Source organism: Homo sapiens, chromosome 11 (genome assembly GCF_000001405.40).
Source record: "Homo sapiens chromosome 11, GRCh38.p14 Primary Assembly".
NCBI classification, from domain to species: Eukaryota; Metazoa; Chordata; class Mammalia; order Primates; family Hominidae; genus Homo; species Homo sapiens.
The window spans coordinates 66,816,347-66,842,701 of record NC_000011.10 but is presented as its reverse complement, the minus strand read 5'-3'; the positions used below and the strand labels follow the sequence as shown (position 1 = coordinate 66,842,701).

General features: G+C 44.4%; 1 protein-coding gene across 2 annotated transcripts in view, besides 1 other annotated feature; it reads right to left on the bottom strand.

Moving 5' to 3' along the window:
* Positions 1-26,355, bottom strand: part of TOP6BL (TOP6B like initiator of meiotic double strand breaks) — a 98,748-nt gene that overhangs the window by 815 nt on the left and 71,578 nt on the right. Inside the window, exons 12-15 of one of the 2 annotated variants that reach the window (NM_024650.4) lie at positions 20,938-21,059; positions 20,028-20,138; positions 14,338-14,436; positions 4,257-4,335 (exon numbers count right to left, since the gene is read on the bottom strand). In NM_024650.4, coding sequence (NP_078926.4) covers positions 4,257-4,335; positions 14,338-14,436; positions 20,028-20,138; positions 20,938-21,059 — 411 coding nt within the window. The remainder of the gene's footprint in view (positions 1-4,256; positions 4,336-14,337; positions 14,437-20,027; positions 20,139-20,937; positions 21,060-26,355) is intronic. The other variant, NM_001302084.2, reaches the window with a different exon arrangement.
* Positions 938-1,064: a silencer, noted in NCBI's record as "fragment chr11:66609109-66609235 (GRCh37/hg19 assembly coordinates)". NCBI's record gives its function as "represses an EF-1alpha promoter that drives an FKBP-Casp9 reporter gene in an ReSE screen in K562 erythroleukemia cells {active_cell/tissue: K562}" and the evidence as "EXISTENCE:reporter gene assay evidence [ECO:0000049][PMID:32094911]".

Genomic DNA, 26,355 nt, shown 5'->3' with positions numbered 1-26,355 from the left:
AGCTGTGGGCGCTTCTGGAGCAGCCCGAGGCTGCAGAGACGTTTCAGGGTCTCCCTATTCTCTCACCCAGGCGGGAGATTGTCCCGAGCCCTCACTTGGGGGACTCAGGCCGCTCAGTAACTTTCTGTATAGATTCTTCCTGGAGTCTGCACTGACAAGCTCCCCTCCCTGCCAGCCTCTGTCCCCCCTCACCTTTCTGGCCTCAGTTCTGTCTCCCTTTGTTGCTCACGTTGCATTGAGCAGTGCCCATAGGCAGCTTTCCTACTCTTAACTGATTCATTTGTCAAATTAAAGCGAGTTTAGATGGATAGATTCTTCCCCAGCAGGTCTTGGGGATGCAGATCAATGAGCTTTTCCCTGAGAGAAGCTCACAGATGCTAGGAGGGGATGCAGACCTGTGTACAAAGCCCAGGGTTAGAATAGAGAAGGAAGCCGACCACCTCTGGATGTGAAGAAGGGTTTCCATGAGGAGATACCTGAGCTGACCTTTTGTTTTTTTGAGACAAGGTCTTGCTCTGTTGCCCAGGCTGGAGTGCAGTGGCTCAGTCCTGGCTCACTGCAGCCTCGACCTCCTGGGCTCAAGCGATCCTACTGCCTCAGCTTCAGCTTCCAGAGTACCAGGAACCACAGGCGCATGCCACCACACCGGCTAATTTTTTTTACTTGTAGAGACAGGGGTCTCACCGTGTTGCCCAGGCTAGTCTCAAGCTGTCCTCCCGCCCCAGCTCCCCAAAGTGACGGTATTACAGGCATAAGTCACCACTCCTGCCCCAGAGCTGGGTTTTGAAGGATGAAGAGTGATATGCCAGACAAGGGAGAGAAAGGGAATTTCTTGCTGAAAGTTAACACAAACCTTATGCAAAGGCATAAAACAACTTCCTATGTAAATTTTTACTTTTTAAAGATGAGGTCTCGCCTGTCACCTAGGCTGGAGTGCAGTGGCGTGATTGTAGCTCACTGCAGCTTTGAACTCCCGGCCTCATCCTCTCGAGTAACTGGGACTAAAGGCACACACCACCTTGCCTGGCTAGAAACAGATTTTCATCTGTAGAAGACAGGAAGCCAATAAAGAGTTTTAAGCACTGGTGAAATATATTGGTAATTTTGTACTTCAGAAAGATCGTTCTTTCAAAGGTGTGGCTTAGATCAAACTAGAGACAGGAAGACCTTAAGAGCCCAATAACAAGTAAAGACAGTGGAGATAGAGGCGTCACCAGGAATCAGAAGTGTTCATCAGGCCTAAGTGATAGGCCTTTGTGAGCGCCTGGATGTGGGAGAGGCCTCTTGGCCGGGCGCGGTGGCTCATGCCTGTAATCCCAGCACTTTGGGGGGCCGAGGCGGGCAGATCACGAGGTCAGGAGATTGAGACCAGCTTGGCCAACATGGTGAAACCCCGTCTCTACTAAAAATACAAAAATTAGCTGGGCATGGTGGTGGGCGCCTGTAATCCCAACTACTCAGAGGCTGAGGCAAGAGAATCACTTGAACTTGGGAGGCAGGGAGGTTGCAGTGAGCCGAGATCACGCCACTGCACTCCAGTCTGGGCAACAGAGGGAGACTCTGTCTCAAAAAAAAAAAAAAAAAAAAAAAATGAGAGGCCTCTTGAATGAATCCAAGATTTCAGATGTGATAAATTGGATTAATCATGAAACAGACTAAAAGTCTCTTTAGTCAGGAGAGAGGAAACTGAGGTACCAATGGGACCTCCACGAGGAGCTGCCTAGTGAGCAAATGAATCTCCCAGCTGGCACTCAGCAGAGGCCTTGGCTGGTCATACCAATTTGAGAGTCTTGAGCCCAGAGGCAGTGGTCAACAGTTGGGATGGAAGATAGCTGGGTGGGAGAGCAGGATGAGCACTATTTAGGCATGACCAGAGGAAAGTAGATGAAGAGAAAAGCCCAGGGAGGGAAAAACCAGGCGAGTCATAGCCTTACAGTGCCAAATTTTGCACATAGTTCAGATACAATGAAGGTAAATGCAAAATTTGGTAATTAAGAGGCCTTCCCTGAGGAGAGAAGTTTCAGAGGCCACAGAAAAAGCAAGTACCCTAAGTGAGGGAGAGAATGAGAGGAAGAAAGGGAGACAGGGTGCATGCAGCTTGTGGTTTTGAGATCCTTGGCTGAGATGTGAGGGAGAGAGGTTGAGGATAAGTGGAGGAAGTTCAAGGTCACGGGAGATTTTCTTCTGATGAAATGAGAGCTTGACCTGCTGAGGGAAAGGAACTCAGGGGAAGGCTGAAGGTGCAGCAGTGATAACTGATGCAAGCAGGTCCCAAGAAAGCAGAAGGGACGATCCCACTGTGAGCCTGGAGGAAATGGGTCCCCACACTGATGAGGTTCTGCAGTGGGAGGGTGCAAGTTGGGTGAGTTTACTGAGAAAAGAGATCCGTAAGTATGAAGCAGGAGGCAGAGACTGGGTAGATTTTTTAAAGAATGGAGTAGCCACTGAGGGACAAAGGCCAGAAAGGCAGGGGGAAGGACTGACAAACCAAAGGCTCCTGAGTGAGTGGACCACCAATGGATGGTGGCATCAACACACAGTTTGGTGATTTTCTTCAGCAGGGCTGCCCATGTGAGGCGTAGAATGGATGCTGAGAGCCACAGGTCTGTAGGACAGAACAGCCCAAGCCATCCTCCAGGGGTTCCACCAGATTATAAACACCTAGATTTTAAAGCTCATGTTGCACACTGGAGAAAACATGGGCTTTGGAGGCGGCAAACTGAAAGTCATTACCTCCTGCTAAGCGTTCTGCCTCACCTGAGCCTGGGTCCTCTAGTTTGTTAGGATCCATGCCTCCCCCTGCCCCCAGAAGGGCACTGTAAAGACTAAATGAGATAAGGCTGTGGAAGACCCCAGCATCTCCCCAGGGTCCACAGAAGGTACTGAATTAAATGTTAATTTTTTTCCTTGTATGGGAAGATACTTATTCCTTTGTCTCTTCTGACTGCATAAATACTGAATTGTATGTATCATATTTGCATTTTTTAAAATCTCCAGATCTAAATTTATAAAAATAGATTCTTTGCTTTGTACAAGCGTTCACAGCAGGGTTCTTTTCAGTAGCAACAGCCCCCACAACATTTAAAACATGGTTCAGTTGACAGTGATTTCAGGGACACATCTTAGGCCTAAGCATAAACGCGTATGTGTTGTGGTTGTGACCCTAGAAAGAGGGATTTACCAACCAAGCATAGGTGCTGACGTCACGATCCCCAGCTTCCCTTGACCCAGATACTGTTTTATCTGAAGGACTCAGGATCTGTAGGAGGGCATCCCTGCTAATTCGGCTCTTCCAGAGACAGCAGAGCTAGGCTGCCTGGGTTTGAATTCTTGCTCTGTCATTTACTGGCTGTGTAGCCTTGGGTAAGTTTATTGATATCTGTGGGCCTCAATTTCCTCATATGCAAAATGAGAGTTAATAACAGTACCTATAGCTCCTAGGATAGTTTTGAGAACTAAGAGCATTAGTACATTTTAAAAGCTCAGAATAGTACCTGGCATCTCTGCTAGTGACTGAATGTGAGAGCTGCTGTACCCCTGCTGCTGTGGGCTGGGAAGGCTGTTTAAGCACTGCAGGAGACATGTATGGAGAAAAGACTTCAGTATAATTGCAATCACAACCCACGCACTGACACTTTCCCATAACACACATTAAGAGTGACATGGTGCCAGGCCGGGCGCGGTGGCTCACGCCTGTAATCCCAGCACTTTGGGAGGCCAAGGCAGGCGGATCACAAGGTCAGGAGATCGAGACCATCCTGGCTAACACGGTGAAACCCCGTCTCTACTAAAAATACAAAAATTTAGCCGGGCGTGATGGCGGGCGCCTGTGGTCCCAGCTACTCGGGAGGCTGAGGCAGGAGAATGGTGTGAACCCGGGAGGCGGAGCTTGCAGTGAGCCGAGATGGCGCCACTGCACTCCAGCCTGGGCGACAGAGGTGAGACTCTGTCTCAAAAAAATAAAAATAAAATAAAATTCAGGGCCCTGAATCTGCGTATTACCTACCCCCACCCCATCATGTGCAGCTATCTGTAACTGCACAGACTTTAATACAAATTTCTAGTCCTGTCCTAACATCTTGGGGAGGGAAGACCTGCTGCTGCCTTGAAGACCCACAGTGGCAGCAACAGCCCACTAAATTGCAGAAGGACGCCGCTGTAGTAGAAGGTACAGTGGAATAGTTTGAAAGTTTGAACTCACGTTTTTTACTTCCTCTGCTGCAGTCCAGGGCTCACTTGAAAAGCTAAAACCTTACCTGCTAGGAGCTCCAGGCTGCTGTTATCAGGTGCGTCCTCAGTGCCCTGGGCTGAGTCCTTTTTTTCTAGGGTTAGCTGCTTAAAAAAATTAGAAGTCCTAAGTGAGTTTTGTAGAAACATGAACGAGCCCTAGTGAAACAGGAGTGTGCCTGGTGGCTTCACTGACCTCACAAGGTTATCTGCCCTCACCTGGAACTCCCTCTTCCTCCTGGCTCATGAATCCCCCTACCCACCCTCCAGTCTTCAAGGTTTCCCTCTGTGGATCCTTCTCCACTCTGGCCATTCACGGCACATCCTTTCTTCTCTGAGCTCCAGTCTCTTGGCTACTGCCTGCCCATTCCTCGGGCTCTGCATACTCTGCAAGTATCCTGTGTGCCCATTCATCAAGTAATGTGCAAATGTCCATTTTCTACACCCTAAATCCCTTCAAAGGCAAGGGCCATCATGCCTTTATCACTTTACAGCTAGCAGAGTGCCTTACACCAGGTAAGTTTGACTGAGAAAGTCAAACCTGGGAAGCCACAGGGTATATTCTGTAGTCATCGGTAGCCTCCTAGAGCCCTGCCACACTGGTTAGTTCAATAATTTGGACAGAGAAAAAGAGGTTCTTACTGAGACCAGAACCCAATCCTCCCAGCTCCTTTTCAAGAATACAGATGTATAAAAATAGGTATCTTCTTCCTCAAAATTAAAAATTCATAGCCAGGCGCGGTGGCTCATGCCTGTAATCCCAGCACTTTGGGAGGCCGAGGCAGGCAGATCACCTGAGGTAAGGAGTTCGAGACTAGCCTGGCCAACATGGTGAAACTCCGCCTGTACTAAAAATACAAAAATTAGCTGGCTGTGGTGGTGGGCTCCTGTAATCCCAGCTACTCAGGAGGCTGAGGCAGGAAAATTGCTTGAACCTGGGAGGTGGATGTTGCAGTGAGCTGAGATCACGCCATTGCACTCCAGTCTGGGTGATGAGTGAGACTCCATCTCAAAAAAAAAAAAAAAAAATTAAAAATTTGTGCTTCTCGGCCAGGTGCAGTGGCTCAAGCCTGTAATCCCAGCACTTTGGGAGGCCGAGGCAGGCGGATCATGACGTCAGGAGATTGAAACCATCCTGGCTAACACAGTGAAACCCCGTCTCTATTACAAATACAAAAAAATTAGCCAGGCGTGGTGGCAGGCGCCTGTAGTCCCAGCTATGCGGTAGGCTGAGGCAGAAGAATGGCGTGAACCCAGAAGGCAGAGCTTGCAGTGAGCCAAGATCACACCACTGCACTCCAGCCTGGGCGACAGAGTGAGACTCTGTCTCAAGAAAATAAAAATAAAATAAAATTTGTGCTTCCTATGAACAAAAGTGAAAAGTCAATCCACAAGAATGGGAGAAGACATTTACAAATCATACCTGCTAAGGTACTGTTACCCAAATTAAAGAACTCTTTTTAAAATTTATTTATAGGCCACGCACGGTAGCTCACGCCTATAATCCCAGCACTTTGGGAGACTGAGCCAGGCAGATAATGAGGTCAGGAGTTTGAGACCAGCCTGACCGACATGGTGAAACCCCGTCTCTACTGAAAATACAAAAATTAGCCAGGCGTGGTGGCGCACACCTGTAATCCCAGCTACTCAGGAGGCTGAGGCAGGAGAATCACTTGAACCCGGGAGGTAGAGGTTGCAGTGAGCTGAGAATGCTCCACTTCACTCCAGCCTGGGTGGCAGGGCAAGACTCCATCTCAAAAAAAAAAAAAAAAAATCATATTTTCTGTAGTGACGAGGTCTCACTATGTTGCCCAGGCTGGTCTCAAACTCCTGGGCTCAAGCGATCCTCCCACCTCCGCCTCCCAAAGTGCTGGGATTACAAGTGTGAGCCACCTTGCCTGGCCCAAGGTAAAGAACTCTCATAACTCAATAATTTAACAAACCAATTTAAAAATGGGCAAAAGAGGGCCAGGCACGGTGGCTCACGTCTGTAATCCCTACACTTTGGGAGGCCGAGGTGGGCGGATCACAAAATCAGGAGATTGAGACCATCCTGGCTAACATTGTGAAACCCCGTCTCCACTAAAAATACAAAAAATTAGCCGGGCGTGGTAGTGGGCGCCTGTAAGTCCCAGCTACTTGAGGCAGGAGAATGGTGTGAATCCGGGAGGTGGAGCTTGCAGTGAGCCGAGATAGCGCCACTGCACTCCAGCCTGGGCAACAGAGTGAGACTCCGTCTCAACAACAACAACAACAGCAAATGGGCAAAAGATTTGAATAGACCTTTCTTCAAAGAAGATATACAAATGGCCAATAAGCACATGGAAAAGATACTCAGCATCAGTATTCACTAGAGAAATGCAAATCAAAACCACGAAATTACTTCACATGCACTAGAATGGCAGTAAGAAAAACAATGACAACAGTTAATGAGGGTATAGAGAAATTGGAACCATCACACAGTGCTGGCAGGAATGTAAAATGATGCAGACTGTGGAAATCAGCTCGAAAGTTCTTTAAAAAGTTAGAACATAGTGTTATCATATGACTCAGCAATTCTACTCCTAGATATATACCCAAGACAGTTACAAGCATGTCCACACAAATATGCTGTTCGTAACAGCATATTCATAATAGCCGAAAAGTGGAAAAAACTTGTGTTCATCAACTAATTAATGGATAAAATGTGGTATATCAATACAATGGATTATTATTCAGCCATAAAGAATGGATGAAATTGTTATATGGTACAACATAGATGAGCCTTAGAAACATGCTAAATGAAAGAAGGCACATAAAGGCCCATGTTGTATGGTCCCATCTATATGAAGTGTCCAGAATAGGCAAATCCACAGAGATGGGAAGCATACTAGTGGTTGCCAGGGGTTGAAGGGAGAGGGGAACTGGGACTCACTGCGAATAGGTACTGCTAATGGCATGATGGAGATGTTCTGTAATTTTAGTGGCGATGGCTGCACAGCACAGTGAATATACTTAAAATCAATGAGTTTTATTCTTTAAAGTGGTAAATTTTATGGTATATGAATTATCTCCATGAGAGATCTATCATATATTGTTTACTAAAACAAGTTTTAGTTCCCAAGTAATTATATTCCAAGGAACATAGGAGGGGCAAAAATAATTCTAAAGACATAAAGAAAGAAACAGGATATTTTCTAAATATTTTTATCTTGAGACAGAACTTGGTTTTTTTTTTGGCTTTAGCTTGGAAAATCTCGTGTCATAGATAAATCTTTCTCCTATCTTGAAATTGGTCTTATCAAGGAACTACCCGCATTGAGATATGAAGCTCTGGGCCTCTCTGGTAGCCTTGCACACCCTTCATTCATCACCTGGTCCCCCAGATAAGACAGCCCTGACCTCAGAATACACCTTGGATTTAACATTCTATGGGACATTTATTTCTAGTCTACCCCCTCCCCCGACCCGCCGGAAACAATGCCTTTCCTTAGAAAATTGCCTCCTTGATACTACTCCTGCTCATTCTGGGTTTAAGTTCTCAGTCCCTACATATATCTATGACACTAAACCCTGGAGTACTATCTTGTTCACTCCTTCCTGGCCCACTGTCTCTGTTCAAACATTCAGGCTTAAAATATCCACTCCTCGCCAGGTGCAGTGATGCACGCCTGTAGTTCCAGTTACTCAGGAGGCTGACACAGGAGGATCACTTAAGCCCAGGAGTTCGAGGCTGTAGTGCACCATGATCACACCTATGAATAGTCACTGCACTCCAGCCCGGGCAACATAGCGGGAACCTGTTTCTAAAAAAATAAAAACAAAAATAATACCTTCTCCATTCCTGCATGACCTTTCCCTGAATATGTTCACTCTGAATACACACTCCCTCATTTTTTCAGTTTCTCAATAAAGCATATAATAGATGGTTTTCTTCCCTGTTACTCAAGAGGTCAGCTATTCTACCTTTCCTGTTTAGAAATGGAAACAGAATGGCCCAGAGGTCAAAGAATTTGACCTATCATCCTTAGTCTTGTAGTTCTAGCTGAAGCCACTGGGTGCCACTCTTGTACCACTAACAAGTTATTTATCACTAAATGGCCATTACCAGAGGATGTTGAGTGGAGAATCATGGGTTCTACTCAATGACCTGGATCACTCATCTGCCCTGGGCTTGCAACCTAGTCCTCTGTGTTAACAATATTACCAGGTTTCAGAGCCGGGAGCTCTCGGTACAAATTCTAGCCTTGCTATTTACTGACTGTGATTCTGGGCAAATTATGAAAGTTCTGTAATCAGTTTCCTCATCTGTAAAATGGGAAAACTATGACCTAATTTATAACATCTTTGCAGAGATTAAAGTGAAAATCTCGGCACAGATTAGGGATTCAGTAAGTGTTCCTTCTTTCCAAGACCTATGACTACTGGTAAGACCTTGAGTTCACTAGCCATATGCCAAATTAATTGGGCTATGAATGGCCCTGAGGCTATGAGCCATGACTATAGCAAAAGAACAGGGTAAAAGAGGTCAGATCTTTTTTTTTTTTTGAGACAGAGTCTTGCTGTGTCACCCAGGCTGGAGTGCAGTGGCATGATCTTGGCTCACTGCAACCTCCGCCCCCTAGATTCAAGCGATTCTCATGTCTCACCCTCCTGAGTAGCTGGGACTACAAGGGTGTGCCAACAGGCCTGGCTAATTTTTTTATTTTTAGTAGAGACGGAATTTTGCCATGTTTGCCAGGCAGGTTTCAAACTCCTGACCTCAAGTGATCCACCTGCCTTGCCCTCCCAAAGTGCTGAGATTACAGGAGTGAGCCACCGCACCTGGCCCAGATTATCTTTTTTAGGTCTTACTGGGATACCACAGAGGCCCAAGTAAAAGTACTTCAGAGGCTGAAGCACTCCTAGATCCTGAGGAGTCCCTCTGCGCTTATATCCTGGGTCCTATGATAACAGCACATGCCTTACCCTGAACCTGTCCCTAGAAAGCTGAAGATGTGGATGGCTGTAGTGAACTGCATTCTCCCCCACCCCAAATATGTCCAAATCCTAACCCCCAGAATTTGTGAATGTGAGCTTATTTGAGAAAAGTCTTTGCACATGTAATTCCAGATCGCAAGACAGGATTAGCCTGGATTTAGGGTGGGCCCTAAATCCCTAATTACCTGCCTGTAATCCCAGCACTTTGGGAGGCCAAAGCAGCCAGATCACCTAAGGCTAGGAGTTCGAGACCAGCCTGGCCAACATGGCAAAACCCCGTCTCTACTAAAAATACAAAAATTAGTTGGGCATGGTGGTAGGCGCCTGTAATCCCAGCTACTCGGGAGGCTGAGGCAGGAGAATCACTTGAACCCAGGAGGCGGAGGTTGCAGTGAGCCAAGATCGTTGCCACTGCACTCCAGTCTGGGCGACAGAGCAAGACTCGGTGTCAAAAAAAAAAAAAAAAAAAAAAAAAGGCAGAAAGATTTGAGAGACAGGGAGAAAGCAATGTGAAGATGGAGTTACAGTTTGGAGTTATGCAAACTACAAGAAACCAAGGTACAGTTTTTATCAGAAGCTAGAAGAGGCAAGACAAGGAAGCACTCTCCTCTAGAAACTTTGGAAGGAGTGTGGCCCTGCCAACACCTTGATTTTGGACTTCTGGCCTCCAGAACTGTGACACAATAAATTTGGATTGTTCTTAAACCTTCAAGTTGATGTTAATTTCTGACAGCATCCCAGGAAACTGATACAATGGATTTTAGCTTTATTTGCGCAAGGCGTGGACAGCGGCTTTCCAAGTCCGAGGGAAACTGGCAAGAGTATTTGCGGTGAAGCAGCTGAAAGGAACAGTGGACACGTTCCTGGGAAGTGCATCGTAGAAGGCACAGCCAGCCATGGAAGGGGTGGTGAAGGGAGCACTAACGGCTTTACTGCTGCTCTGTGCCTCTCTAATCACACTGAAGAGGAGGATGGTAAAGTCCATAAGATGCTTTGATCCTTGGGTGCCTGGGCACCTAAACTTCCCCACCCAATCAGGAAAGCAGAAGTACAAGGGGCAGAGCAGATGCAGAGGAGGTACCAAAGGCCCTGTTACTCATTTTCTCAGAAACAGTGTCCATAGCGCGGTGGCTCATGCCTGTAATCCCAGCACTTTGGGAGGCCGAGGCCGGAGGATCACGAGGTCAGGAGATCAAGACCATCCTGGCCAACACAGTGAAACTCCGTCTTTACTAAAAATAGAAAAAACAATTAGTCGGGCATGGTGGCAGGTGCCTGTAGTCCCAGCTACTCAGGAGGCTGAGGCAGGAGAATGGTGTGAACCCGGGGGGTGGAGCTTGCAGTGAGCCGAGATCACGCCACTGCACTCCAGCCTGGGCGACAGAGTGAGACTCCGTCTCAAAAAAAGAAAAAAAAAAGAAAGTGTCCATACTTGTTATAACTGTTGAGATATAAACTGACAGAGTAAACTGCATACATAGAAAATGTACAATTTTTTGTTTTTTTTTTTTTTTTTTTTGAGACAGAGTCTCACTCTGTTGCCCAGGCTGGAGTACAGTGGCATGATCTCAGCTCGCTGCAACTTCTGCCGCCCGGGTTCAAGCAATTCTCCTGCCTCAGCCACCCAAGTAGTTGGGATTATAGTTGCCTGCCACCATGCCCAGCTAATTTTTTTTATATTTTTAGTAGAGATGGGGTTTCACCATCTTAGCCAGGCTGGCCTTGAACTCTTGACCTCGTGATCCACTCGCCTCAGCCTCCCAAAGTGCTGGGATTACAGGCGTGAGCCACCGCACCCGGCCGAAAATGTACAATTTTTAAGTACACATGTGCATACCTGTGAAACCATCACACAATCAACATAATGAACATATTCATCTCCCTGCAAGCATCCTGCTGCCCTTTATAATCATTCCAACTCTCCCACCTCCCATCCTCTAGTAACCACTGACCTGTGTAGATTAGTTGGCATTTTATAGAATTATATGTAAGTGCAATCAAACAGTATGTACTCCTTTAGTTTTTGATTTTTTCACTTGCCATGCTATTCAGAGATTCATCCATGTCACTGTGTGTATCAATAGTTCTTTCCTTTTATTGCCACATAGTGTTCCTTTATATGAATCTACTACAATTTTTTTATCCATTTACCTGTTGATACTGGGTTGTTTCTCATTTTTGGGGCTATAACAAAAGTGCCATGAAGATTTGTGTATGATTCTTTGTGTGGAGATATGTTCTCATTTCTCTTGGGTAAATACCTAGGAGTGAAAGAGCTAGGTCATATGATAGGTATATATTTAACTTTTTAAGAAACTGCTAACTGTTCTCCGAAGTGCTTGTACCATTTTCCATTTCCACAAACAGTGTATGTGAGTTCTTTCTTCCACATGCTTGTTAACATGTGGTATAGTCAGTCCTTTTATTCCAGTGGTATGAAATGATTATCTCATTGTGGTTCTTTTTTGAACCTTTGTTGTGACTGATGATGTTGGGCATCTTATGTCTTTATCTGCCATTTGTGTATCTGTAGCTTCTTTCGTGAAGTGTGTTCAAATATTTTGTCCATTTAAAAAAACCGAGTTGTGTTCTTATTAATGAGTTTTAAGAGTTCTTTATATATTGAGGATATTATGGTAAGGTTTTTAAACATTCAATTTTAAAAACAGATACAGTGCTATCAGGTATATAGGGGTACTTCTTCTTGAGTGGGCTTCGTATCTTTCAAGGAATTTGTCCATTTCATCTAAGTTGTAAAATATACTGTAAACTTGTTCAAAATATTCTGATAATCCTTTTAATATCTGATGCTACCTTTCTGATTTCTGATAGTGATAATTTGTGTTCATTCTTTTTATTCTGATTAGTCTGGCTAAATGTTTATCAATTTTATTAATCTTCTAAATGAGCCACCTTTTAGTTTCATTGATTTTTCTCCATTGTTTTTCTGGTTTCTATGTTACTGATTTCCATTCTGATCTTTATTATTTCATTTCTTCTGTTTAATTTGTGTTTAATTTGCTCTTCTTATTCTAGTTTCAGTTGGAAAGTGATCTCATGGATTTGAGCCTTTTTTCTTTTCTAACACAGGCATTTTCCCCTCTAAATACTACATCAGCTACATCTCACAAATTTTGATAATTTGCTTTTCCATTTAATTAAATTAAAATATTTCTAATATCCCTTTGATTTCTGTGTTTAACTCATAGGTTATTTATAAATGTGTCATTTAGTTTCCAAATATTTGGGGATTTTCTAGATAGCTTTCTTTTATTGATTTTGCTGTAATAATTCTATTATAGTCAGAAACATACTTTTATGACTTAGATCTTTTAAAATGTATTGAGACATATTTAATGCCTTAGAATATGTTCTATCTTGCTAAAAGTGCCTTGTGCACTTGAAAAGAATGCATATTCTTCTGTGGTTGAACAGAGTGTTTTTATAAATGCCAGTTAGGTCAAAGTGATTGAAAGCATTGTTCTGACTGTCTCTGCTTATCATAACTATTAATTATTGAGAGAATTATGTTGAAATCTCAAAATATAATTTTGGATTTGTCTATTTCTCCTTATAGTTCTATTAGTTTTATGTTTGTTTATTTATTATTTATTTATTTATTTATTTTTGAGGCAGGGTCCCACTGCCACCTAGATTGGAGTGTAGTGATATGATTTTAGCTCACGGCAACCTCTGCCTCCTGGGCTCATGCAGTTCTTCCACCTCAGCCTCCCGAGTAGCTGGGACTACAGGCATGTGCCACCATGCCTGGCTAATTTTTCTATTTTTTTGTAGAGATGGGGTTTTGCCATGTTACCCAGGCTGGTCTTGAACTCCTGGGGTCAAGTAATCCACCTGCCTCGGCCTCCCAAAGTGTTGGGATTACAGGCATGAGCCATCGTTCCCAGCCCCTCTGTATCATGGTTTTGTTTTTTTTTTTTCTGGGACAGAGTCTCACTGTCGCCCAGGCTGGAGTACAGTGGTGTGATCTTGGTTCACTGCAACCTCTGTCTCCTGGGTTCAAGCAATTCTCCTGCCTCAGCCTCCTAAGTAGCTGGGATTACAGGTGCATGTCGCCACACCGGCTAATGTTTGTATTTTTAGTAGAGACAGGGTTTCACCATGTTGGCCAGGCTGGTCTCGAACTCCTGACCTCAGGCGGTCCACCTACCTTGGCCTCCCAAAGTGCTGGGATTACAGGCGTAGCCACCACACGCGGCCTGTATCTCAACCTCCCCAGTAGCTGGGACAACAGGCATGTGCCACCACATGCAGCTAATTTTTGTATTTTTAGTAGAGACAGAATTTCACCATGTTGGCCAGGCTGGTCTCATACTCCTGGCTTCAAGTGATCCACCTGCTTTGGCCTCCCAAAGTGCTAGGATTGCAGGTGTGAGCCACTATGCCCGGCCTCAGCTAATTTTTTTTTTTTTTTTTTTTTTTTTTTGAGACAGAGGCAGAGGTTGCAGTGAGCCGAGGTCATGCCACTGCACTCCAGCCTGGGCAACAGAGCGAGACTCCATCTCAAAAAAAAAAAAAACAAAAAACACACACACACTTTTATCTTTTCACCTTTTTGGATGCTGGAGATCTAGAATTTCCTTAGTTGGGGTCTTTACCCTCAAGGAGGTCAAATAGCTTTTAACTGGTTTTGTGATGGTCTCCTCTAATGAGTGAACGGAGATCCTAGCAGGAAATTCTGTTTCTCCAGATTCCAGGTGTAGCTGGTAGTAGTTGTCTAACTGAAGCCCACTTTTCTGGCTTTCTTGGCTCCAGTCAGTACGATTGACTTATCTGGAACTAAAAATGTAGGATGAATAAATAAGAGAAATTAAAGATGAAATTATCCTACAGTGTCTTCTGGACAAGATGGAGTAACGGGGACTGAATCTACCCTCCTGCCTGAAATAACAAAAATCCTGGATACAACACATGAAACAACGGTTTTCAAGACATTGGACACCAGGCAACCAGTGGGATAGTCATTCCTGAGAGATAGAAAACAGATGATTTTGTTTCACAGACTTCCTTGCTGAAAGGCTGACCTCAGATTATGCAGTCTGAAACACTTGTACCTACCCACCCTCAATTCAGGATTCCCATATATCAAAATGGAAGATTCCCACCAAAGTACTGATTATTTACACTTACCTGCTTCACCTCACATGAGCAGTGGTGAAGAAATTGGTGTTGGGTGATCTCACGAAATACTTTGTGCAGTTTGGTCCTGAACTCTTGTGTGTCAGCTGCCTAAAATGGGCCAGAAATAGAACATGCTGAGTTCCAGTACTGGAAACCAAGGGGGAAAGTTCTCACAGAAAGTTTATACAGGGAGATGAGGAGGCAGACAGTAGGCAAGCCATTAAAGTTAAGAGTTTTCTTAGTTTTCATGAAGGCAGTAGAGAAAAAAAGAAGGCCTGAGATACTTGGTGTAAGACAGGCAGTTGTGGCTCCTATATGTCTTCCCACTTCTGTCATCTAAGCAAGATCCTTCAAAGAAGGTCTTTGTTTTCCCATCTCTCTTTTTTTTTTTTTTTTTTTTTTTTTTTCTGAGACAGAGTCTTGCTCTGTCACCCAGGCTGGAGTGCAGTGGCACAATCTTGGCTCACTGCACCCTCCGCCCCCTAGATTCAAGTGATTCTCCTGCTTCAGCCTCCCGAGTAGCTGGGACTACAGGCATGCACCACCACACCCGGCTCATTTTTGTATTTTTCGTAGAGACAGGGTTTCACTATGTTGGCAAGGCTGGTTTCGAACTCCTGACCTCAGGTGATCCACCCGCCTCAGCCTCCCAAAGTGCTAGGATTACAGGTGTAAGCCACTGCGCCTGGCCTGTTCTCCCATCTCTGTAGGAGATAAATATCCAGAAGATCCATCTGTTCATGAAGGGGTTATATAAACTGCTCTTCTATAAGAAGAGTTTCCAAGACAGCACAGGTTCTACTGCATAACTGAGGCTGATATGAGACTTTTTTTTTTTCTGACGAGTCTTTTAGGGAGGAGAGGAACAAAATAATACAGTTTGCACCCACAGGAAATAGGTAACAGCTTTCTACTTTTAAATATATAATTATAGGATGTTAGAATTAAAGGGGACCAGGGTAATAACCTAATACATCACACTAATTTTATGGATGAGAAAATTGAAATTCAAAAAGGAGAAGTGGGCTGGGCGCGGTGGCTCACGCCTGTAATCCCAGCACTTTGGGAGGCCAAGGCAGGTGGATCACCTGAGGTCGGGAGTTTGACACCAGCCTGACCAACATGGAGAAACCCTGTCTCTACTGAAAATACAAAATTAGCTGGGCGTGGTGGCGCATGCCTGTAATCCCAGCTACTTGGGAGGGTGAGGCAGGAGAGTCAAAAATTAGTCAGGCGTGGTGGCACATGCCTGTAATCCTAGATACTCGGGAGGCTGAGGCAGGAGAATCGCTTGAACCTGGGAGGCAGAGGTTGTGGTGAGCCGAGATCGCGCCATTGCACTCCAGCCTGGGCAACAAGAGCGAAACTCCGTCTCAAAAAAAAAAAAAAAAAGCCAGGTGTGGTGGCTCATGCCTGTAATCCCAGCACTTTGGGAGGCCGAGGCAGGCGGATCACCTGAGGTCGGGAGTTTGAGACCAGCCTGACCAACATGGAGAAACCCTGTCTCTACTAAAAAATACAAAATTAGCCAGGGGTGGTGGCACATGCCTGTAATCCCAGCTACTGGGGAGGCTGAGGCAGGAGAATTGCTTGAACCTGGGAGGCGGAGGTTGCAGTGAGCCGAGATTGCACCACTGCACTCCAGCCTGGGCAACAAGAGCGAAACTCTGTCTCAAAAAAAATAAATAAATAAAAAATAAAAAAAAAAGAAGTGACCCACCCAAGATCTCACAGCTAGTTAGTACAAAAGTTAGGGCTTTAATGGATACCTTAGAATTCCCAATATAGTGTTCTTTTCACTACCCTGTGCTATCCACATGACCCAGAAAGTTGAAGCTATGATAAAATGCACTAGCTTATAAATGTGTTATACACTTTGACTCATAACTCCATTTATAGAAATTTGTTCTAGAAAATAATTCAAAAGAAGCAAGATATTACATAAAGGTATTAACTGAACCACTATATAAGCAAGAATGTAAACAAATGTCTAACAGAGGAATGGTTTATTAAATTAGATTTAAACAATACAGTGGGATATTAACTAAAAATTCTAAGACTGTTGAAATGGGGAAAATGGCAAATTATATATGAAAATAGAATGCTTTGGTTACAAATATATATGAGATAATGAGTAAAAATTATAGTGATAAATTTTATTAGTTATTATTTTAAAATTTTTTTGTGTTATACTAGCTTTTCAAGAAAACTATACCAAAAAAATGAAGCAGGCCAGGGCGTGGTGGCTCATGCCTGTAATCCCAGTACTTTGGGAGGCCAAGGCGGGCGGATCCCGAGGTCAGGAGATTGAGACCATCCTAGCTAACACGATGAAACCCCGTCTCTACTAAAAATACAAAAAAAATTAGCTGGGCGTGGTGGCGGGCGCCTGTAGTCCCAGCTACTTGGGAGGCTGAGGCAGGAGAATGGCGTGAACCTGAGAGGCGGAGCTTGCAGTGAGCTGAGATCGCGCCACTGCACTCCAGCCTGGGCGACAGAGCGAGACACTGTCTCAGAGAAAAAAAAAAAAAAGCAACAAATATGGAATGATAAGTTGCCCATTGATAATACCAGTTGGTCAGCACACATTCCTAAAGGAAGGGAAACACTAACATTTATTGAGAATCTACCGTATGCTATGCACTTTGACACTGTCTTAGTCCATTCGGGCTGCTATACCAAATTCCTATAGACTGGGTGGCTTATAAACAATAGAAACTGATTTCTCACAGTGCTGGAGGCAGGGAATCTGAAATTAAAGTGCCAGCATGGTCAGGTTCTGGTGAGGGCCCTCCTCTGGGCTGTAGGCTGCCCACTTCCTCCCTGTGTCCTCACATGGCAGAAGGGGCAAGGGTCTCTCTGGGGCCTTTTTTTTTTTGGTTGGGACAGAGTTTCGCACTTGTCACCCAGGCTAGAGGGTAATGGTGCGAACTCAGCTCACTACAACCTTCACCTCCCAGGTTCAAGTGATTCTCCTGCCTCAGCCTCTCAAGTAGCTGGGATTACAGGCGCCTGCCACCACGCCTGGCTAATTTTTTTTGTATTTTTTTTTTTTTTAGTAGTGACAGAGTTTCACCATGTTGGTCAGGCTGATCTGGAACTCCTGACCTCAGGTGATCCACCCACCTTGGCCTCCCAAAGTGTTGACATTACTTACAGGCATGAGCCACCACGCCCGGCCTGGGGCCTTTTTTATAAAGGCACTAATCCGGCTGGGCACAGTAGCTCGGGCCTGTAATCCCAGCACTTTGGGAGGCCAAGGCGGGTGGATCACCTGAGGTCGGGAGTTTGAGACCAGCCTGACCAACATGGAGAAACCCCGTCTCTACTGAAAATACGAAATTAAGTCAGTGTGGCGATTCCTCAGGGATCTAGAACTACAAATACCATTTGACCCAGCAATCCCGTTACTGGGTATATACCCAAAGGATTATAAATCATGCTGCTATAAAGACACATGCACACATATGTTTATTGCGGCACTATTCACAATAGCAAAGACTTGGAACCAACCCAAATATCCAACAATGATAGACTGGATTAAGAAAATGTGGCACATATACACCATGGAATACTATGCAGCCATAAAAAATGATGAGTTCATGTCCTTTGTAGGGACATGCATGAAACTGGAAACCATCATTCTTAGCAAACTATCGCAAGGACAAAAAACCAAACACCACATGTTCTCACTCATAAGTGCGAATTGAACAATGAGAACACATGGACACAGGAAGGGGAACATCACACACCAGGGCCTGTTGTGGGGTGGGGGGAGGGGGGAAGGATAGCATTAGGAGGTATACCTAATGTTAAATGACGAGTTACTGGGTGCAGCACACCAACATGGCACATGTATACATATGTAACTAACCTGCATGTTGTGTACATGTACCCTAAAACTTAAAGTATAATAATAATAATAATAATAATAATAATAATAATAATAATAAATACAAAATTAGCCAGGCATGGTGGTGCATGCCTGTAATCCCAGCTACTTGGGAGGCTGAGGCAGGAGAATTGCTTGAACCCAGGAGGCGGAGGTTGCGGTGAGCCAAGATCATGCCATTGCACTCCAGCCTGGGCAACAAGAGCGAAACTCCGACTCAAAAAATAATAATAAAATAAAAATAAAGGCACTAATCCCATTCATGAAGGCCTAATGACCTAAATCACCTCTCAAAGGCCTCATACCTCCTAATATTATCAGTTCGGGGGTTAGGATTTCAACATATGAATTTTGGGGATATATAAACATTCAGACCATAGCACACATTTAGCTCTCACCTTCATAATAACTCTGTGAGGTACTATTACTTTTTCCAATTTGTAGACAAGTCTCAGAACTATAGGCCTAAACATAACTAATAAGTAAATGAGTCAGGATTTGAACCTGAGCCTCTGATTCCGTACTGCCACATACACGTAATAGGTAAGGTTGCTCAGTTATTTCCAGTGTATTCTGTCACCATGAGATAGCATTTTTCAACAAGGAATTAGATTAGGAATCACTGATCTAGTCCTAGCTCTGTTCTTTTTTTCTTATTCTTTTTTGAGACGGAATCTCACTTTGTCACCCAGGCTGGAGTGCAGTGGGGTGATCTTGGCTCACTGCAACCTCCACCTCCCGGGTTTCAGCAATTCTGCCTCAGCCTCCTGAGTAGCTGGGACTACAGGCGTGCACCACCACGCCTGGCTGATTTTTGTATTTTTAGTAGAGACGGGGTTTCACCATGTTGGTCAGGCTGGTCATGAACTCCTGACCTCAAGCAATCCACCGCCTCAGCCTCCCAAAGTGCTGGGATTACAGGCATGAGCCACCACACCCAGCCCTAGCTCTGTTCTTAACTAGCTGTGTGACCTAAAGAAAGCAGAAATCTTAAATAATTTGTTTTCTCATTTGTAAAATGGTATACATACTACTATTCCAACAAATATTTCTTAAAACTTAAGCCTGGTACTATGTAGCATCACAGTGGAGCAAATAAAGTAATGTTTCTAAAAATACTGTACATTTTACAAAGATAAGCAGTAGAATGTCATTAAAATCCTGGCTTTTTTTTTTTTTTTTTTTTTGAGGTGGAGTCTCGCTGTTGTCACCTGGGCTGGAGTACAATGGGGCGATCTCGGCTCACTGCAACCTCCCCAACCTGGGTTCCAGCAATTCTCCTGCCTCAGCCTTCTGAGTAGCTGAGATTACATGCAACTGCCACCACGACTGGCTAATTTTGTATTTTTAGTAGAGACAGGATTTCACCATGTTGGTCAGGCTGGTCTCAAACTCCCGACCTCAGGTCATCCACCCGCCTTGGCCTCCCAAAGTGCTGGGATTACAGGCATGAGCCACTGCCCTGGGCATTTTTTTTTTTTTTTAAGACAGGTCTCAGTCTGTTGCCCAGGCTGGAGTACAGTGGCATGATCACGGCTCAGCCTCAACATCCCGGGCTCAGTTGATCCTCCTACCTCAGCCTCCTGAGGAGCTGGAACCACAGGTGTGCACCACTCCACCTGGGTGATTTTTTAATTACTTGTAGAGACAGGGTCTCCCTGTGTTGCCCAGGCTGGTGTCAAATTCCTGGGCTCAAGCAATCCTCCTACCTTGGCCTCCCAAAGTGCTGCGATTATAGGCATGAGCCACCGTACCCAGCCAAAACCCTGGCACTTTTAAGCATCCCCAATCCCAATCTCCTACTAACTTGAAGGGTCTGGAGACACATCTTTCGGAAGCTGCTCCTAGTGCTTCCAGTCAGAATACTCATGATGGAGTTCACAGCCACTGAGAGTGAGGCCTGTAGTTTCTGCTGAGCCTGGGGAACATAACAAGTAAGGGGGAGACTGCATGAATCCCAAGATGTGGTTTAGAGAATCCCAGAGGGCCCACACATTTCCATCAGAGCAGGATTTCAACAATTCTTCCTATCCATCAACAAAAGTTACTGAGATCCTCACATATTTTTACATCATAACACTTAGGGAATTAAAATAAAATTTTAAAATGTTCTTGCATTTCACAGAGGTGACTTACTGACACAGACACATCAGAGAAGACAAGCAATAGGACAATGATCAAGAAAACAGACACACTATTTGGGAAAAAAAAAAAAAGCTTTTAGTTCTGCTCTCTTAGTGTGGTTGTTTTTTCCCTGAAAAGGGGGCCATATGAGGTAAGAAATGTGTTACCAAAAGTACACAGGATGGATGGATGTAGAAAATCAGGTAAGGAGAGAAAGTGGTGGTGTAAAGAATTAGGAAAATGGGGGAAGAATGTAAGACACAGCGAAACAGCAGCTCCAGAAGTCTGTGTGGGAAGGGGAATTATATGCATAAGGAAGAGGTGTGTTATCAGCCATTTTTCCCTATTAACTATTTCCCTATTTACCCAAACACACCTACTAGGAGGTAAGACTAAGCAAGCTGGTTACAGTGATCCATCTAAGCTAAAGTTTGAGTTGTAGGCTAGATGCAGTGTTACAAGATCACCCAGGTGACAGAAGAGGAGAGGAAGGGGCATTAAGGGAGGAAGGGCTCCTGGGCCCTGCCTGCCATATATGCTTGCTATCTTTTTCTTAGAGAATAGGAGAAAAGAGGCTGTGAATTCCTTATTACCTTGGCAGCCTGGTGATGTTGCTCCAAGACCTTGTCCACAGTGAATTGGATGGAACCTTGCACTACACTGTGGCTCTCCACAAGGATGGCATTGAGATGAGTTGTGAGCAAAGTATAGACTCCTAAGGGGAGGGAGAAGGTAAAATTATCACTATATCTACCTCCCCTCACTGTGCATCTGCAAAAGCTAGTCTTAAATTACCAGATGTGGCCTGTAATCCCAGCACTTTGGGAGGCCGAGGCGGGCGGATCACGAGGTCAGGAGATCGAGACCACGGTGAAACCCCGTCTCCACTAAAAATACAAAAAATTAGCCAAGCACGGTGGCGGGCACCTGTAGTCCCAGCTACTCGGGAGGCTGAGGCAGGAGAATGGCGTGAACCCGGGAGGCGGAGCTTGCAGTGAGCCAAGATTGTGCCACTGCGCTCCAGCCTGGGTGACAGAGTGAGACTCCGTCTCAAAAAAAAAAAAAAAAAAATTACCAGATGTGTAAGATTTAAGACACTTGTTTACTAATACACTGATGAATTTCTTTTAAATCCAATACTGAGTACAACGACTGAGATACTGCAGGCCCTCAGAATCAAGCTAAACAGAGGTGTACAAATTATCACAGTAGTTCAGGAATGATAACACTGGTTTCTGAGGAATCCGAGTTCTTTAGAAATGTTCAGTAGGGCTCAGAACATGGTATCAGGCTTGCATTATCCAAGGATTAACCATGAGCGAGGATAACTACTTCAAGATTGCTGTTCATGTGCTTTGAGTCAGGACTGGGAGTGGGAAAGATGCCTCTTGGAAGAAGAGACCCCTACATATCCACAAATAATTACCTTTTTTTAGACAAAATCTCCCAGCAACTTACACACCTACCTAATTCCCACTCATAAATCTAAGAAAGCTCAGGAAAATTAAGGTGGAGAATGACATTATTTTTTAAAGAAACAAATAAGGGATCCTGTTTAATTCATAGCAGAAATATATACCATGTACTATAAACAACAATCCCAGTGACTCCCAAAGGAGAGGAGAAAGGGAGAAGCAAAGGTCCTATAGAGTGTGTCTAACCCTACTCTACGTCTATGTGAACATCACTGTTGTGGCAGTGCTTTCAGACGTACTGTGGTAAAGAAAAGGTTAAAATTCACAGAGATGACACAGAACTGTTGGTATGAGGTCCTTTTAAATGGGAGATTATCTCTGTTAAAGTAACCACAGGCACCACTGCTCAGTCTCATTCAGAAAAGCTAATATGTGAGAGCAACAGGCAAAAAAACTATGCCATCAAACAATAGGCCACCATTTAATGATCCCGATGCAGCAGGCACAGGAAGCCAAATTTACAGGTCACCTGGAGAAAATCCTTCTTGATTATTCTTTGTTTTCAGTGTTCAGAATTCTATGGGAAGCAGCCTAAAACTGGCTGGCTTTTTCCAGGACTGTATTAAAAATGCAAACCAGAAGAACATTTTCTACCACAAGGCACCATGATCCTTTCCTGGTAGGGAACGTAATATATGGTAAGCTCAAAAGGATTCTGGAGCTGGAGTCAGGGAGAACATAGATTCTAGGGCCAATTCTGCCATCAACTAGTGGTGATGAAATCTTTTCTTCAGTATAGAAAATGGCTTTATACCACCTGCTCTCACAGGTATGTTGTGTAGATAAACTGCGATAATGTACACAAAGTGTTTTGTGGGTTTTGTTGCCCAGCCTGGAGTGCAGTGACACGATCTTGGCTCACTGCAGCCTCGACCACCGGGGCTCAAGTGATCCTCCCACCTCAGCCTCCCGAATAGCTGGGACCACAGGTGTACACCACCACCATGCCTGGCCAATTTTTTTTTTTTTTTTTTTTTTAAGACAAGAGTTTTGCTCTTGTTGCCCGAGCTGGAGTGCAATGGCGTGATCTCGGCTCACTGCAACCTCCGCCTCCTGGATTCAAGTGATTATCTTGCCTCAGCCTCCCGAGTAGCTGGGATTACAGGCGCCTGCCACCACACCCAGCTAATTTTTGTATTTTTAGTAGAGACGGGGTTTCGCCATGTTGGCCAGACTGGTCTCAAACTCCTGACCTCAGTGTGATCCGCCCGCCTCGGCCTCCCAAAGTGCTGGGATTACAGGTGTGAGGGACCATGCCCGGGCAAATTTGTATATGTAGAGACGAGGTCTCGCTGTGTTGCCCGAGCTGGTCTTGAACTCTTGGGCTCAAGCGGTCCTCCTGCTTTGGCCCCTCAAAGTATTGGGATTACAGGAGCCAAGCCACAGTGCCTAGCCCATGAAGTGTTTTGAAATGTACACTGTACAGTTTCAAAATATTGCTATTGCTATGTTAATGTATCATCTAGATTGGTATTTTCCATAGTTTGGTTTTAAGAACAGCTTCAAGAAATCAGATCTCTTTTGAAAGCAGACATTTAATTTAAAAGTCAAAGTTCATTCCTAAAACTTTTGACCACCAAATGCTTTTGACATTGGGGAAAATAATGAGTTAGTCACAAGAAAAAAAAAATGAGTTAATCACAGAAAAGTTACCATGACAAGGTAGGTGGGCATAAGGCCAATTAAGTAATTTTCTTAAAGACACATGGAAACAGACTAACTTTGCACCATCTGTTTCCTAAAAAAGAGGCTCTAGAGAAAGCTTTTAAGGATATGAGAAAGAAAAGGGGGAAGAGAAGGTAAAATTATCACTATGTCTATATCTACCTTCCCTCACTGTGCATCTTCTTCAGAGGCTAGTCTTAAATTACCAGATGTGTAAGATGGGAGAGCCTTACTGTGTTTACTAATACATTGATGAATTTCTTTTAAATCCAATACTGAGTACAACAACTGAGATACTGCAGGCCTTCAGGGTCAAGCTAAACAGAAGTGTACAAATTATCACAGTAGTTCAGGAATGATAATACTGTGTTTCTGAGGAATCTGAGTTCTTAAGGAATGTTCTTTAGGGCTCAGAACATGTTATCAGGCTTGCATTATCCAAGGATTACCTTCTGACAGACCTTAAAAAAAGCCTGCCAGAAGGTAGCAGATCTTAAGTCTTAAGAGGGTTTTAGACCTGGAAGGGCCTTTGATGGGGCCTAGCCTAACAATCTCATGTTAAAGATATGAAAAGGGAGGCTCAGATTTACGTGACATACTTCCCAAAAATCATTGAGGAAGTTGGTATCAGTGCTAAAATTAAACCCAGGTCTCTTGATTCCACCCTGATGTCTTTTCCACAATAATCAGCTGCTGCTCTTACCAACCTCTGTCTATGTGAGCATAAGCCACAGGGAACAGCCCCAGGAATCCTCACATTAGTTTAGGTATCTTCTATTTTCCATTCCCCTGGTGTTAATCATCAGAACGGCGGTACACCAAAGACCATTAGCTCCTCAAATAAAGAGCTACAAGCCAGAGCCCCAGGAAACAGTGCTTCTCTCCTAGTGTGTACAGCATGTGTTGGGAAAAGGCAGGGAAAAGTTTGCCTTATCTTACTTCTGAGAGGCTCAGAAGGAAGGTAGAAGGAAGAATACCACAGCCAACAATGGTTTGTTCAATAAATAATTGACACCAGTCAACATGAGCTCTTTTGATCTGGTGTAAGCAGTCTCTTTTTTCTTATGACTCAGTAGGAGCAGGGCCACACCAAATAGCACTAGAGTGCCTGGAGAATAGAGTCCCACGAAAACACATTGGCCCATAGAGAAAGGAGAACAGAGACATATCAGAAGCACCAAAAGGGAGGCTTACGAACCTTTCCCCAAATTTGTATAAGCTCCACTTCTCCTTGTAACTTTCCTCAAAGATTAGGAGGGCATTGAGAAACACTTAAATTTATGTCCCAGGGTTTATTGGATTAAAATGCAGAAGTCAACTCCTGCTCATGCTCAGTGGTTTTCAAATTTTACTCTATTTAAGAATCACTTGAGGCCAGTGCGATTGCTCATGCCTGTAATCCCAGCACTTTGGGAGGCCGAGGTGGGAGGATCACTTGAGCCCAGGAGTTCAGACCTTGCCTCTACAATAATAATAATAATGGCCTGGTGTGGTGGCTCACACCTGTAATCCCAGTACTTTGGGGGGCTGAGGCGGGTGGATCACGAGGTCAGGAGTTCGAGACCAGCCTGACCAACATGGTGAAACCCCATCTCTACTAAAAATACAAAAATTAGCCAGGTGTGGTGGCGTGTGCCTGTAATTCCAGCTACTCAGGAGGCTGAGGCAGGAAAATTGCTTGAACCCGGGAGGTGGAGGCTGCAGTGAGTCAAGATCACGCTATTGCACTCCAGCCTGGGCGACAGAGGGAGACTCTGTCTCAAAAATCATCATCATCATCATCATCATCATCATCCAGTGATTCTGATGCATGTGTTTCATGGACCAGAAAATGAAACCACTGTTTTATCTCTATCATAGATAACCTTTCTGATTGATAACAAATTGTCACCCATCTAATAGATAAACACCAAAGGTTCCCTGTTGCATACCTGAATAAGAACAGGTGTGCATTTTTTAAATCCACCTGGAAAGGCAGCATGATGATGAAAAGTTCCCAAGCCTTGCTGTACATCAGAATCACCTGAGAAGTGATTTTATTTTATTTTATTTTATTTTATTTCTTGAGACAGAGTCTCAATCTCTTGTCCAGGCTGAAGTGCAGTGGTACAATCTTGGCTCACTGCAACCTCTGCCTCCTGGGTTCAAGAGATTCTCCTGCCTCAGCCTCCTGAATAGCTGGGATTACAAGAAGCTGCCACCATGCCAGCTAATTTTTGTATTTTTAGTAGAGATGGGGTTTCGCCGTGTTAGCTAGGCTGGCCTTGAACTCCTGGCTGCAAGTGATCCACCCACTTCAACCTCCCAAAGTGCTGAGATTACAGGCATGAGCCACCGCACCCAGCCTGAGAAACTTTAAAAACATACTGACAAGCACTTGGGGATGCCGAGGAAGGAAGATTACTTGAAGCCAGGAGTTCGAGAACAGCCTGGGCAACAAAGCAAGACCTCCATACAAAAAATAATAATACAAAATATAATTGAAAAAGTTATCCAGGTGCACTGGCATGCATCTGTAGGCCCAGCTACTTGGGAGGCTGAAGCGGGAGGACCACATGAGCCCAGGAGTTTGATGTTGCATTGAGCTATGCTCGCGCAACTGTACTCCAGCCTGGACGACAGAGCATCTCTAAAAATAAAAAAAATTTAAAAACATACTGAACCCTAAGCCCCACCTCAGTCCATCTGGAAATCAGAATCTCTGGGGAGTAAGCATTTTAGATGCTCTCCAGGTAATATATTGTGCGGCTAACGTTGAAAACCGCTGATCCCTAGGGAGCAATATATGAAGTATCTGCTGATTTCTGGCCAACCAGACTAGAAATGTCATCATTTAAGCGATGCATCAATATATGAATCTTTTCTATAGGA